The sequence below is a fragment of the Homo sapiens genome, chromosome 6, assembly GCF_000001405.40.
Source record: "Homo sapiens chromosome 6, GRCh38.p14 Primary Assembly".
NCBI classification, from domain to species: Eukaryota; Metazoa; Chordata; class Mammalia; order Primates; family Hominidae; genus Homo; species Homo sapiens.
The window spans coordinates 17854917-17869483 of record NC_000006.12 but is presented as its reverse complement, the minus strand read 5'-3'; the positions used below and the strand labels follow the sequence as shown (position 1 = coordinate 17869483).

The 14567-nt window shown below is 39.3% G+C and overlaps 1 protein-coding gene across 4 annotated transcripts in view; it reads left to right on the top strand.

Annotated features, from left to right (window-relative positions):
* The window catches only part of KIF13A (kinesin family member 13A), a 228510-nt gene that overhangs the window by 118152 nt on the left and 95791 nt on the right, over positions 1–14567 (top strand). For all 4 annotated transcript variants that reach the window (NM_001105568.4, NM_001105567.3, NM_001105566.3 and 1 more), the window contains exons 5-6: positions 13362–13454; positions 13867–14047. In NM_001105568.4, coding sequence (NP_001099038.1) covers positions 13362–13454; positions 13867–14047 — 274 coding nt within the window. The remainder of the gene's footprint in view (positions 1–13361; positions 13455–13866; positions 14048–14567) is intronic.

The window sequence follows — 14567 nt, the reverse complement described above, 5'->3', positions numbered from 1 at the left end:
AGGATACTAATAGTTCTGATCTCATAGGGTTGATCTGAGGGCTAAATAATGTATTCATTTAAAGTGCTTAATCCAGTAAGTACCTGGCGACTTAGGGAGGAGGAAGCACTGCCTTAATGTTTATCGTTGTCTTTATTATTGTCTCATTGTGACAGGAGTCAGCACTTTGGAAAGAAAATGCAATGTACTGAGATTTATGACAACTGGTTTTGCCACAAACTGCTAGACCTTGGGCAGGATAATTTCTGTGGGTCTCTGTTCTTCATCTGTGAAAGGAGGAGATACAGCCTGGAATGATCTCAGATCCCCTCCAGCTCTCTGATAAAACATGAATCAGCCATTTTATGTTGGCCACACAGCTGTTCCAGTGGACTTTTCAGAGGCAAATTAAAGGCTTATTTGTTAAGCCATTCACATTGCATTGAATCATGCTTTGAGGTATTTTACATTTTATTTATTTGTGTTTTTTTTTTTTTTTTTTTTTTTTTTTTTTTGAGAGGGAGTCTCCCTCTGTCGCCCAGAGTGCAGTGGCACGATCTCGGCTCACTGCAACCTCCGCCTCCTTGGGTTCAAGCGATTCTCCTGCCTCAGCCTCCTGAGTAGCTGGGATTACAGACATATGCCACCACACCTGGCTAATTTTTGTATTTTTTAGTAGAGACAGGGTTTCACCATGTTGGCCAGGCTGGCCTTGAACTCCTGACCTCAAGTGATCAGCATCCCAAAGTGCTGAGATTACAGGCATGAGCGACTGTGCCCAGCCAGGAATTATTTTACATTTGAAATATATTATCTCTTCCTCCTATTAGCTTTTGGCTAGGTAGTTGTAATAATGTTTGTCTGGCAGATAATTCTGAAGCAAAAATTTTTTTTTTGCTTCAAAAAGAATTTTGAAGCAAAAACCCTGTGTAAGGGCTAATGAAAAAAAAAAACAGAAATAACCTGCAGAATTAGATACCTGGAGCATGGCATTTCTACATAAACTCATATGTTCTCCCGAACTTCATATATACATGCAGATGTACACAGATCCACATTTAAGATTATAAGTTAGTATATTATAGTCAATACTGATAAACTTGAAAGCAGTCTTTGTAAATGTTTAAGTCACTGCTGATTGCAATTAAAGCATTCTTGACAATGAATCAATACATTTTTTAACATTTCTAAAATGTGCCATGTTAGTAGATAACAGTGACTTCCAGTAACTTTGGTTTTTATTTTCTTCCCAGCTCTACAGAAATCTTCATATCAAAAATAAAAAAAAAGCAGTCTGGTAGTGGCATATCTGGGGTCAGTGTGGATGTGAACATTCCCTGGCCTGAGAGATTCTAAACTGTTGACTCAGAAATTATATAACAGTTCTTGCCATATGGCATGTTGCTCAAATGTGCTGAAGCCATGTGTCTTCGAGCATTGTTAATGCCCTGCAACTCAGGAGAAAGGTTGTACATCTGCCTCTTATTCTGCTAGCATTGCTTTATACTGTGAGGGGACAGAAGAGCACCTCCAATCTGTGGACTAATGCAGTGGGAAGAGCAGCCATGTTTGATTCTGTTCCCATCATGGGGGATTTTATGTGCTCAGAGCTAGAAATGATTTCTGCTTCATATTGCTTAACTAAATATTAACTTAACTAACCAGAATCGTAATGAGACAAAACATTTGTGCAGCAAAATTTACATTCTAAAAGCCAACAGTAGCCAAAATAGAACCAATTTCTTAGCTGAGTTCTACAATATTAATTTGTTCTAGCATATTGTATTGGTTCATTATTTTACTATTCAGGTGGTCTGTTTGAATGAAGTCTTTTTTCTAGTAGTTAAAAGCACAGGCTCTGGAGTCACACTTCTTGTGCTCAAATTCTGCCTCTGCCACTTCCCAACTGTGTGGCTGTAGGCAATAATAACAGCACCTCCTTATTATAAATCTTGTGGGTTGAAATGAGATTATGTATATGAAGCACTCAGCAAGTGCCTTGCACAGAGGAAACACTCAATAATTGTTAGCTATTGGGTTTAAACCATAAAAGTTTTCCCTATAGTTATGAGCAATGCTAGTAGTTGCTACTTGAACAGTTTGTTAAAGTAGGGATTCATTATAAATGATGCATGCCATTTTAAAAAACATTTATGAAAAAATATGCCAAATCCTCCCAGATTTTTGTTTTTCTTTTATGGTCTTTTATAAATTATCTCACTCATACTCAATTTGTCATTTCTTTTGGTGACTCACCTTTATCAAGTTGTTCCTAAGCATTCTATTTAGAGTTTTCTTAGAATCAGCAGCCCTCTTTTTTGCATTTGTTAATTAAATTATGTAATTACAGAGAAGTACAACTGACATAGAACAGTTTAGGAGCAAATACAACTGACCCTTTGTACAAGCATAACTCAGCTGGTGAGAGTCCAGAGAGTAGCCTCCCAGCTGGGGTGATTTAGCATGCAGGGGGCATTTCATAGATGGAAGAGAGAATGTTGGGTAATCCAGAGAATTGGATAAGAAGGTCAGTTAAGAAAAATTTTTCTTGTAAAGGATGTTAAAAAATAAATGAGCTTTGCTAATCGTGTTAAATTTTTTTAAGTGTATATATATGTGTGTGTGTAAATATATATATATATATATATATATATATATATATATATATATATATATGCGCTGCTTTTTTGTTCTCCCCTTTACTCACCTATTTTTTATCCTATCAAATCCCATTTTCTTCAATACCTCCCTTTCTTTGTCCACATTTGTTCCTTAGGGTGTTTGTTGGACCCAGAAACATCATTTAACTTGTGTTTAGAGGGGTGAATAACAATAGCAATAGATAGTACAACCCTGAGCATTGAATCCCAAGCACTGTGCCGATCCCTCTACATGCACTAGGTGATAAGATTGTCAAAGCACCCAGTCAGGTAGAAACTATTACTGCCCCCATTTTACAGATAAGAAAACTGAGGTTTAGCGAAGCCCTGCTCCCTATGAGAGCACTGAAAGCATTGGTAAATGTGGATGTTAGTTAATGACATGTATGCTGGTGAAAATTTTATGGATTCTACTCCAGCCTATGGTGCTCCTCTCCTCTCTCATCCTGAAGAGTCATTCAATATGACTCCTAAGGAAGTCATATTGAAGTGCTCTGGCTTAGAACCTAGCCAGGAATACTACTAAAGTTACCCTCACTCCTGTCAGAAGTTCTCTAGGATCCTTATATTTGGTTTGGGCTTTGTTTTAACCTCGCCTCAAATACTATAAATATTGTGCAGCCCACAATCCAGAAGAGATGTTGAGTTGGGTCTGCTTCTTTGTCAGAGAGAGGGGGTGTAAAACACCATCAAATAAGATAGAAATGAAGGTTTACTTTGTCAGCAGTTATTTTATGGGAAACACCCTCCTGTATGACTCCAACACACATTCTCTGTAAGACATTCTTCACAGGTGAGTGGCTTTATATTCTTTCTTCATTCTCGAGACCAGTGCCCAGGGCAGTGGTTGCATGACCTCCTCCTTGGTGAATCAGCCACTGTGTCCAGCAACAAAAAAAGACCATGCTCATGGCCAGCCCCAGTGCTGTTGCTGTGGTGGAAACATCCATCTGGATGAGTCAGCCGTGCCATGCTGCAAGCCAGACTTCCAGACTAACACTGATAGCTTTTGAATGCTACAGTGGAAAATGTGTCCGTGGTCTATTACCCTCATGGCCTGGTTTCTTGGGATCTTCTTACCAGGCACCTCAATGGTAGACTTTTCTGTAGTTGATTAAAACTTAAATCTAGCAATACCAAGTCAAGCCTTACAGCTTCAGTTTCTTTATCTGAACTCTGTAGTTTTTGGTCATTTAACTTAAACCAGGTTTGAAATCACTACATATGAGAATTTTTGAAAGCTGCACTTCCATACACCAAAGATTTTTGAGAAAGGAATTTATTTAAACCTCATCCAAGCTGGGCATTCTTCACCCCTTCAGGTATGTGAGAAGAACCTGTCTGGTCTTGCGCTGTCCAGGTGCTCTGATTTGGAGCTGGGCCACCTGCCAAGTCCAGACTCATCAAAATCGCTGTGCCTGTCAGCCCTGTTTAGAAGTGAAAAAACACCCTCACAAATGAGTAGGCCCAGGAATTCCAAGTCATAAATAGTGAGCCCAGCCTTTATTTTTTTTTTTTCCTCTCTCTCTCTACTCTGATTCCAAAGAGAAGAGATAGGGAAAGGAAGGAAAACTGGGGGCTCAGTTTAAACTGATGAAATTATTGATCGTGTTCAAATATTGGATGCTTTTCTATGTAGTTACTTTAGAAAAACAAGAAATACTCTGTGCATATGCCAGGTCTGATCTGTGCATCACCATGCTTAGTGTTTTATTCAGCCATGGGCCATAGGTGTCTGCCTTGTTTAATGCAGATTTTAAACAAGATAGGGCGTATATCCTCCCATTTCATTCTCTCACTTTCTAGAACACAGCCCACTGTGACTCTTTTATCCTGTGCCTCTTCAGTCATCAGATGTTGGGTGTAGGAATGATAGCTGCATTTTTCCTTCCATCCCTGGTTTCTTTCTTGCTATAGAAAGAGATTTGCCTTGGTTACCCATCTCCCAGTACACACACATGGTGGCTTTGAGCCTATTGCTGCTGTTCTAAGTAGGGACAGATTATGCACAAGTGTGGACACCCAAGGGTGTTAGCTTTTCAAAGATCTCTGTCAGGCTGGGTACAATGACTATAATTCCAGCACTTTGTGAGGCCAAGGTGGGAGGCTCACTTGAGGCTAGGAGCTCAAGATCAGCTCAGACAACATAGCAAGATCTTATCTCTACTAAAAAATAAAAATAAAAAATTAGCCATAAGTGGTGGCACACACCTGTAGTCCTAGCTACTCAGGAGGCTGAAACAGGAGGATTCCTTGAACCTCGAGGAGTTAGAGGCTGTAGTGAGCTATAATCACACCACTGCACTCTAGCCTGGTGGAAGAGCAAGACCCTATCTCTTTCAAAAAAGAAAAAGATTCATATCGTATGTGACTCAGGGTTGGGTGACTCAGGTCTGTGACTTTGCTTGTAGAAATTCCATACAGGAGCTCTCTCTGTTGTTCTGACATTGTGTTATGGGTTACTTTGGGCATGCCTGTGTTTTAAGACTTGTTCACATGATTATAGAAGGTCTAATCATAAACCCCAGAGGAAATTGGCATTGTGGTCATGGTTATTAACAAGTGAGGTCAGGCTTGCCCTGTGAATTTGCTGCACCAGGCATGTGGAGCTAACATCTGCAGAGTGGCCACCGCCTTTTTGGCATCGGTTCTGCTGAAAAGTCACAGGCCTCTTGGATTTGACAATGTTATGGCTCTGCTCGGATTGTCTGGGATAGAAACAAATACTCATAGATCCTCCTGCTTCCCACGGGACTTAACGAACCTTCGTTTATGGGCTGGTATGCTTTCCCCTAGACAAATAGCACCTCATTCTATTTGAGTGTAAACTAGTCGGAAAACGTTTAGGGTGGAGATATTGCGTCTTTTATGGGATCCACCCATGCACTGTTTGAATTCCCTGATTCCCACCACTCAGCGTAAACAGCTCCTTTTTTCATGAACTGAGGTTCAAAAAGCAGTTGGCAAGTCGTCTTTTCCTATGCTGAGAAAAGGGACTGTTGTGTTTAAAAAATAGAAGTGAACAAAGCAAAAACAAAACAAAACAAAAAAAACAAAAATCCTTCGGTCTTTTGGATAAACTAGGGTCTCTTCAAGAGACCATATGAGGGTTCTTGATATTTCATATTTTCTATTGCAGAATGAAGTGTAGCCATCATCTGTGTTTCACTGACAGCTGATTGCAAGAGAGGACAGAGACTGTATCAACAGTCATAGTGCCTTTTTAGGCTTTGGTTGACAATTTGGCCTTTTTTATCGTTCTTTTTCCTATACCAGTGGTGCCCTGAAGGTCACCAAACCGAAGAATTGGTTAAGTATAACTCCGGCCACGAGTTCACACAGCTGAAAAGGCACCAGAAGGGCAGAATAAGGGGAACTCTAGAACCTGTCCCACTCACAGTTTTGCTGATATAGTTTTTTATATTGGGTTTTTTTTTTCCCTGTACCCTTCTCAGTGTTAAAAAAAAAAAAAGAAAGTATTTTTCTTATAATAGACAATATGGATTAGCATACCCTGGCCCCAGTAATGATACTGTTCCTTCATCTCATCATGTCCATGCACACACAAACACACACCCCACCCTTTCTGTCCTCCACCCCCTTAAATGTGAGAGTCACCACCATCATATTTGGTCGGTAATATTTTTTAAATGGGACCTCTGTGGGAGCTAGAAAAATAGCGATAATTGGTTCCTTTCAGAAATCTTTCTAAGAACAAGTATCTTTTCTTTTTAATGTTTTGTTTTAAGAGATGGGGTCTTGCTCTGTCGTTCAGGCTGGAGTGCAGTGGCACGATCGTGGCTCACTCTAGCCTCAACCTCCTAGGCTCAAACAATCCTCCACCACCATGCCTGGCTAATTTTGTTTTTTTGTTTGTTTGTTTGTTTGTTTGTTTTTGAGACGCAGTCTCGCTCTGTCGCCTGAGCTGGAGTGCAGTGGCGCGATTTCGGCTCACTGCGACATCCACCTCCCGGGTTCACGCCATTCTCCTGCCTCAGCCTCCCGAGTAGCTGGGACTACAGGCACCCGCCACCATGCCCAGCTAATTTTTTATATTTTTAGTAGAGATGGGATTTCACCATGTTAGCCAGGTTGGTCTCAATCTCCTGACCTCGTGATTCACCCACCTTGGCCTCCCAAAGTGCTGGGATTACAGGTATGAACCACCATGCCCGGCTCATACCTGGCTAATTTTTTATTTTTTGTAGAGATAGGGGTCTCACTATTTTGCCTGGGCTGGTCTTGAGCTCCTGCCCTCAAGAGATCCTCCCACCTCAGCCTCCCAAACTGTTGGGATTGCAGGCATGAGCCACCACACCTGACCTTTTTCCTTTTATCTTTGAAATTGGATTATGCCACAAAATTGTTGCAAAAATGAAGGAGCCATCTGAAGGAAAAATAACTAGATAATTTTTCTTTGCAGTAAAATGAATTATAGTTGATTAAAGACTTAAGAGATGATAATAATAGATAATAACTAAAATATATTCTAGATTTATACTGGCCACGCACTATGGTAAGTACTTTACCTATATTGGTTTATTAAACCATCCCAGTAGCCCACTTAGGTAGCAACTATTAGTCTTATTTTACCGATAAACTGGGAACCTTCCCAGTGTCACATAGCTGGTAAGAAGTAAAACTCAGGTTTGAAAGTCAAATTGTAAAAACAGTGGTGGTGCACATCTATAATCCCAGTTGTTTGGGAGGCTGATGCAGGAGGATTACCTGAGCCCAGTCATTTGAAGCTGCCATAAGCTGTGATCCCGCCACCACACTCCAGCCTGGACACAAAGCGAGATCCTGTCTCCAAAATAACTAAAATAAATAATAACAAAAATAAAACTAGAAGAAAATATGGGTGAGTTCTATATAATTTGGGGGTGAAAAAGGATTTGTGAGGCATAGCACATATCATAGGCAGAAATCATGAAGGAAAAGAGAAAAGATTTGAATATGAAAGACCAGGAGCTTTCGTATGACCAAGAATAAGGTAAGACCGATAGGCAGATGACAGACTGGGAAAAAATATTTATAACATATAAGATAGACCAGTGGTTAATATCCTCAATATGTAATGAGGATTTTAAAATTAATGAGAAGAAAAGCAATGGCTAGCGCAAGGACTTAAATAGTCAACTTACTAAAGTGTTAATACAAATGAACAATAAATAGAAGAAAAATTATCCAAACAAGAGGCTTTTCTTTCCTACTGACTCAGTCAGAACTAAGAAGAATGATCACAGGGATTGTTGTTGAGAGTGTTGTAAGTAGAGACCAATGCATTTTTAGAGAACTTGGAGATTTGATTTTTTGAAGTTTTGCCTAGTAAAGTCAATAGGAAACTGCACAGAGGTAAACATGTAAGAATAAACATTGCAGAAAAATAAAAGGAAATAATCTAAATATCCATAGTAGGGAACTGATTGCATCCATTATTCATACAATGGAAAGCTGAGCTCCTGTTAAAAATGCTAATGTTGATGTATATTTGTAGAGATGGGAAAATGTTCATTATTTCTTGTCTTAAAACAGAATGCATTGTCTTTGAGACACAAAGCCATAGTAATAAAATGTATTCCAGTCTCTCTAGACTCCAATCTTGTGTAAATTTGTAAAAATACATGGAGAATGAAAAATTTTTTCAGAAACGTAGTATAATCATTTTCAATTTTTTATGTTGTTTTTCTCAGATTTTTTCTTTTCCAATTATGAATAAAACTTTACTAAATATGATAAATTTGAATTCTATTTTATCTGCCAAAAATAACTGTAACTAAAAGAAGTTGACTATATTTGAAATCACATGTATATATTTAGTGGAAATCAGAGAGACTAGTTTTTATTTTTTTGTCACATATATTTTGTTGTAATGTCCAGGAGGATACGGTGGGTATTAGTAAAAAAGTGATTTGTAATTTTTATCAAAATTACCTAATTAGTACCTACATAGTGTGTTGACGCATTTATTCATACCCCATTGGCTTATTTAACAAAGGCCTACTGTAGTCTTATGGGATTCATTAGAATTTCAAAAACAGTCATACTTTGACCAAAGTGTAAACTAATACAATTAAACATTTATTTTTAAGTTCAAAGAATAATTTTTTTTTTTTTTTGAGACAGAGTCTCACTCTGTCACCCAGGCTGGAGTACAACAGTCTTCTGATAACTTATTGTCACTGATGAGGGAAGAGGCTCCCAATTAAAAATACATTTTTCTGAAAACAGCAGTATCAACACAGGAATAATTCAGTGAATACAGATGCCTATTGTGTGCCAGGCATTCTACTAAGATGCAGCAATTACTGTTTTCACAATCTGGCAGTAAAGGTGAACATGAAAAAAAAATTGTGCCAGCCAGGCACAGTGGCTCACACGTAATCCCAGCACTTTGGGAGGCCAAGGCAGGCAGATCACCTAGGGTCAGGAGTTCGAGACCAGCCTGGCCAACATGGTGAAACCCTGTCTCTACTAAAAATACAAAAAGTAGCTGGACTTGGTGGTGGGCCCCTATAATCCCAGCTACTTAGGAGGCTGAGGCAGGAGAATCGCTTGAACCCAGATGGCAGAGGTTGCAGTGAGCTGAGATTGTACCACTGCACTCCAGCCTGGGCGACAGAACAAGACTCCATCTCAGAAGGAAAGAAAAAAAAATTGTGCAGTGTAATGAGTTCTGACAGTCTGTAAAAATTATCCTGGAGACCAGAGGTGAGAGCAACTGATTGCCAGTGTCATGCAGCATGAATTACTGATGATGAATGGAATCAGCCTTGACAGTAGGGAGTCACTATAAGCTGACCCAAACCCTGCCATTCACTGATAATGAGATCTTGGGCAAGTGACTTAACCATTTCAAGCCCCAGTCAGCTTATCAGTCATAATTCATACCTACTCTACCTGGGTATTGTGAGGATTCAATAATATAGAACATGTAATCCCAGCACTTTGGGAGGCCAAGGCGGGTGGATCACGAGGTCAGGAGTTCGAGACCAGCCTGGCCAATATGGTGAAACCTCGTCTCTACTAAAGATAGAAAAAATTGGCCGGGCTTGGTGTTGCATACCTGTAATCCCAGCTACTCAGGAGGCGGAGGCAGGAGAATCACTTGAACACGAGAGGTGGAGGTTGCAGTGAGCCGAGATCGCACCATTGCACTCCACCCTGGGTGACAGGGCAAGACTCGTCTCAAAAAAAAAAAAAAAATATATATATATATATATAAAATACATTGCCAGCAGGACAGTTGATAAAAATTATCTTTGCTTTTCCTTAGTAGCATAAATAATAAAAGAATACAAGTTTAATAGGTTAAATCATGTCCTGTTTAGTATTTGCAACAATTTGGTCATACACTAAACTAAAATTTACTCTTGTTTTTTTGGTTTTTTTTTTTACATTTTTTGTAGAAACAGAGTCTCACTTTGTTGGCCAGGCTGGTCTTGAACTCCTCTCCTCAAGCCACCCTCCCACCTCGGCCTCCCAGAGTGCTGAGATTACAGGTGTGAGCCACCATGCTTGGCCTACTCTTGTATTTTTATATGCTGGGGAGTTCTTTGATCATTTCATTTATTTTTCTTGCAATTTTAGTATACACATCCTGGTGGTTTGTTTCATTTACATCATAAACCTACTTCATACAACTATATAGCAGTCATCCTTGTTTTTCCAACTAACAATCTTTAGTTTAAAAGGCCATTCCTACCAAGGAAAAAGACACATTGTGATTTACTCTTGAAAGAACCTAGGAAAATAATTCCTCCTAATTCCAGCGTATTCAGCATCAGGAGCAGAAACCAGAAGTACCACATTTTACTACCTGATACAGGAATAGATATACTAGGTATTAACTTTAGGCTCTCAGAAGCCATAATAAAATCTCTTTGACCACAGTACTTCTCTGCAATTGAGTCCTTTCATCAACTCAAGCTGTTGGGCTTTTTTTCAAGTTACTAAATATGAATTGAAATCATGAATTATGGTCAGGATGCTTGACTTAGCCAACTCTTGAAGTCTCTTGTCCCCACCCTCACCCCACTCCCTTCCTGGGGGCTGGTTAACCAGTGTGGAAGATCAAACAGGATTGCTCCAATCAGCTGCTTGTGCCAAGAATGTATTGCTTTTAGAATGCCTTCAAATGGCACTTAGGTCTGGCTGAGGACCACAAGCAATCCTAATAAGCCTGGGCACAGGCTGGATTTAATTCTGGGTCTTCTCTGATATAGGCCTTGGCTCCAGATTTAAGGCCTACCTTTTAGCAAGGGGCTTGGGAACATACGTGGAATAAGGAAGGTCCTTTGAGAAAACATATGAGAAATAAATATTAATGTGTATGAAAGATCATGCACCAGAGTGGTCAGGTATTTTCTTCGTGAGCACAAGACTATCATACTTGACTATAACATAAAAGCAATTTGTGAAGCAGATAATAATTTTGATTATACCTTATTCTTCTCTGAATATACACGTATTTGCATACAGATCTTAAGGTACTCTTCACAACAGACCTGGGTGTTTAGAAAAGTTTCTTCTGATTACACCCATTTTAAAAAATCCACATATTCCACCAACTTGTTTGGTGGAAGTTACCAAACATCTATGCTAGATGGTAGAAGTTAGCAATAGAGAAATAAAGTTACATAAATTTGGTATATTTTTTCCAATCCATTTTTTACACTTTAGCATTTGTAGATCTCTCTCTCTCACACACACACACACACATGCGTGCATGCACACACACACACACACACACACACACACACATAACTATTTGACATAAGGTTTTACATTATATGCACAGTTCTGAACATGGCTTTTTTTTCACTTAATGTTTTTTAATTTGAGCATTATTTACACATAGATGTGGGTGTTGGGGGTTTATTGTTTTTAAAAATGTTATGTAGTATATTCCATCATATAAAACAGTCACACTTTACTTACTTTCATACTTACGGGCATTTAACTTGATTCCCATTTGCAGTATTATGAATAACACTGCCATGAACATCCTTCACAGGGTCCTTTTTGGGAATGTGTTTCTAGAGTAGATGCTTCACAGTGGGTCAGGCAGTGTAGGCATATTCCCTTTTATAGATGCTGTCAAGTTTTCCTTCAGAATGTCTGTATGCGTTTATTCTCCCACCATATGCAGCTTATGAAAATACCTATTTCCTCAATGCAGCAATATTTGATGTTGTCAGAATTTTATTTTTTGCCAGCCTAATGGTTGCAAATTGTATGGTCTGTTTTTACACTGTTGTAAAGAACTACATGAGGCAGGCTAATTTGTAAAGAAAGGAGGTTTAATTGACTCACAGTTCCGCATGACTGGGGAGGCCTCGGGAAACTTAGAATCATGGTGGAAGGTGAAGGGGAAGGAAGGCACGTCTTACATGGCAGCGAGAGAGAGAGAAAAGAACTCAAAGGAAGCCACACACTTTTAAACCATCAGATCTTGTAAGAACTCACTATCATGAGAACAGCATAGGGGAAACTGCCCCCATGATCCAATCGTCTCCCAACAGGTCCCTCCCTTGACACGTGGGGATTACAATTCAAGATGAGATTTGGGTGGGGACACAGAACTAAACCATATCACAAATACTATCTCGTTTTGTGTTGAAACACTTTTAAGAGTCTCATCCTGCAGTCATCATATATCATAGTATAATAAGAGACTCCTAAAATCAGATCTAAATTTCCATAAAAGAAAAACATAAAACCAAAAGCTCATGTTGTGTTACATTATTTTCAAATGTAAAAGGAACTATCATGTAAGATAAAAATGTTAAATTGACTCATTCTTTCAACATTTATTAAGCATTTTGTACTAGGCTCTAGGATTATGAAGATAAGCAGGTTATAGTTTTGGGCATCAGGGAGCTCTCATGCCAGTGGAGGAAACAGGTACTTAAACTAGTAGTTTCTGCAAATGCTGTAATAGTGAATGTTCTAAGGACTATAAGAAGACAGGAAGGAGAACATAAGTCTAATTGTCTTAGTGATACAGAATGAATATTAGAAAATCACCAAATTCAAAGGGTAGCAAATGCTGTCCTTTTATGTGTTTAAAACAGATTGTCACTCCTTTACTCTTCAGCCCCGCTCTGCCATAGTATAGTACATGACACAATGCCCCCAAGAGCTGCAGTGTGATACAGAGATTCACAAAAGAGAACTTGTCCCCCACTCCCGCTGTGGGGACACAGGTGACGGGTGCCTGTGAATCTACAAACAGCAGCTGAAGTTGTCAATCCATCCTCAGCAACTAACGGTTTTTAGCACTTGGCATGTACAAAACACCAAGCTAGGTGCTGAGGGAGATACCAAGGTGTGTATAACATGGTCTTGTTCAGTGGCAGTTCAGAATCTAGCTGGGGAGATAAGGCAATTCATGTTTAATGACATTGTAGATATTAGTCATAAGAAAAAACAACCAAATTTGAATGCTGCTTCCATATGGCCCACTCACAATGGAAAGAAAACTTTAATATCTAGAGAAGTGTCTTAGAGGGAAACAGTGTATCCAGGTACTGAGCTGTAGTTTAGAAGTGTGGATGAAATTGCATATATCAAGCTCTTAATACACAGCCCTGTACTTAGTGGGCACTCGGTACTACACTTTTAACATTTTTTTGAATTGACATAATATTGTTACTAACACAAATATGTCAAGAAAAATTATTCTTTTTATTAGTTTTTAATATTTGTCTTGTTTTTTAGGTCAAGAAGTGGTTTTCAAGTGCCTTGGGGAAGGAATTCTTGAAAAAGCCTTTCAGGGGTATAATGCGTGTATTTTTGCATATGGACAGACAGGTAAGAAGTTGCTTTTATAGACCAGATGTGGGGGATCATGCCTATAATCCCAGGACTTGGTGAGGCTGGGGTGGGAGGATCTCCTGAGCCCAGGAGTTTGAGACCAGCCTGGGCAACATAGTAAGACCCGTCTTTATAAAAACTAAAAACATTAGCCCAGCGTGGTGGCACACCTGTAGTCCCAGCTTCTTGGGAGACTGAGGTGGGAGGATGGCTTGAGCCCAGGAGTTTGAGACTGTAGTGAGCCATGATCACACCACTGCACTCCAGCCTGAGCAACAGGGTTTGAGGCTAAGTTGGCCACTCTTCTGCTATGTTACCATGGCCAGTATATGGGGAAACCTTGTATGGTTGAAGCATTGCATTTTGCTCCCTCCTCTACCTGTTCTTCTTTTTCCTTGCTGTTCTCCAGGTTCGGGAAAATCCTTTTCCATGATGGGCCATGCTGAGCAGCTGGGCCTTATTCCAAGGCTCTGCTGTGCTTTATTTAAAAGGATCTCTTTGGAGCAAAATGAGTCACAGACCTTTAAAGTTGAAGTGTCCTATATGGAAATTTATAATGAGAAAGTTCGGGATCTTTTAGACCCCAAAGGGTAAGTTAGTGGTCAAGATTAAGTGTGTTAATAGGGGGAGATAATTTTAAATGATTCTAAAGTTAAAATTGGAAGTGAATATACGTATTTAAGCTCTTGGTGACTACACTGGTTTTCATTCATTTACAGAAAAATCATCAGCTTCTCAAAGCCTTTTGGTATACCCAGTGTTTATCCTACATTAATGTATAAAGTTGCCTATGTATGCCCTTTGAAAAGATGTTTTTACTATTGGTATTTTTTTTTGCCACCATGAACTATTCACAAAAATTGAGTTAGGAATAACACATTAGTTCTTCCATTTACATTGGAAAGTGGCACTAATGTGTTAAGGGTAAAAGGGTTGAAGGATTGAAACATCCCAGCCAAGGCAAGCAATGCCCTTCCCTGGCTGTGCATTGGAATCATGTGGGGAACGTTTTAAGCATCCACTTGCCTGATGTCCACCCATAGAGACTGTATTCAGTAGACCCAGGGTGAAACCCAGGGATCTATATTTTTTTTAACTAGGTGATTTAAA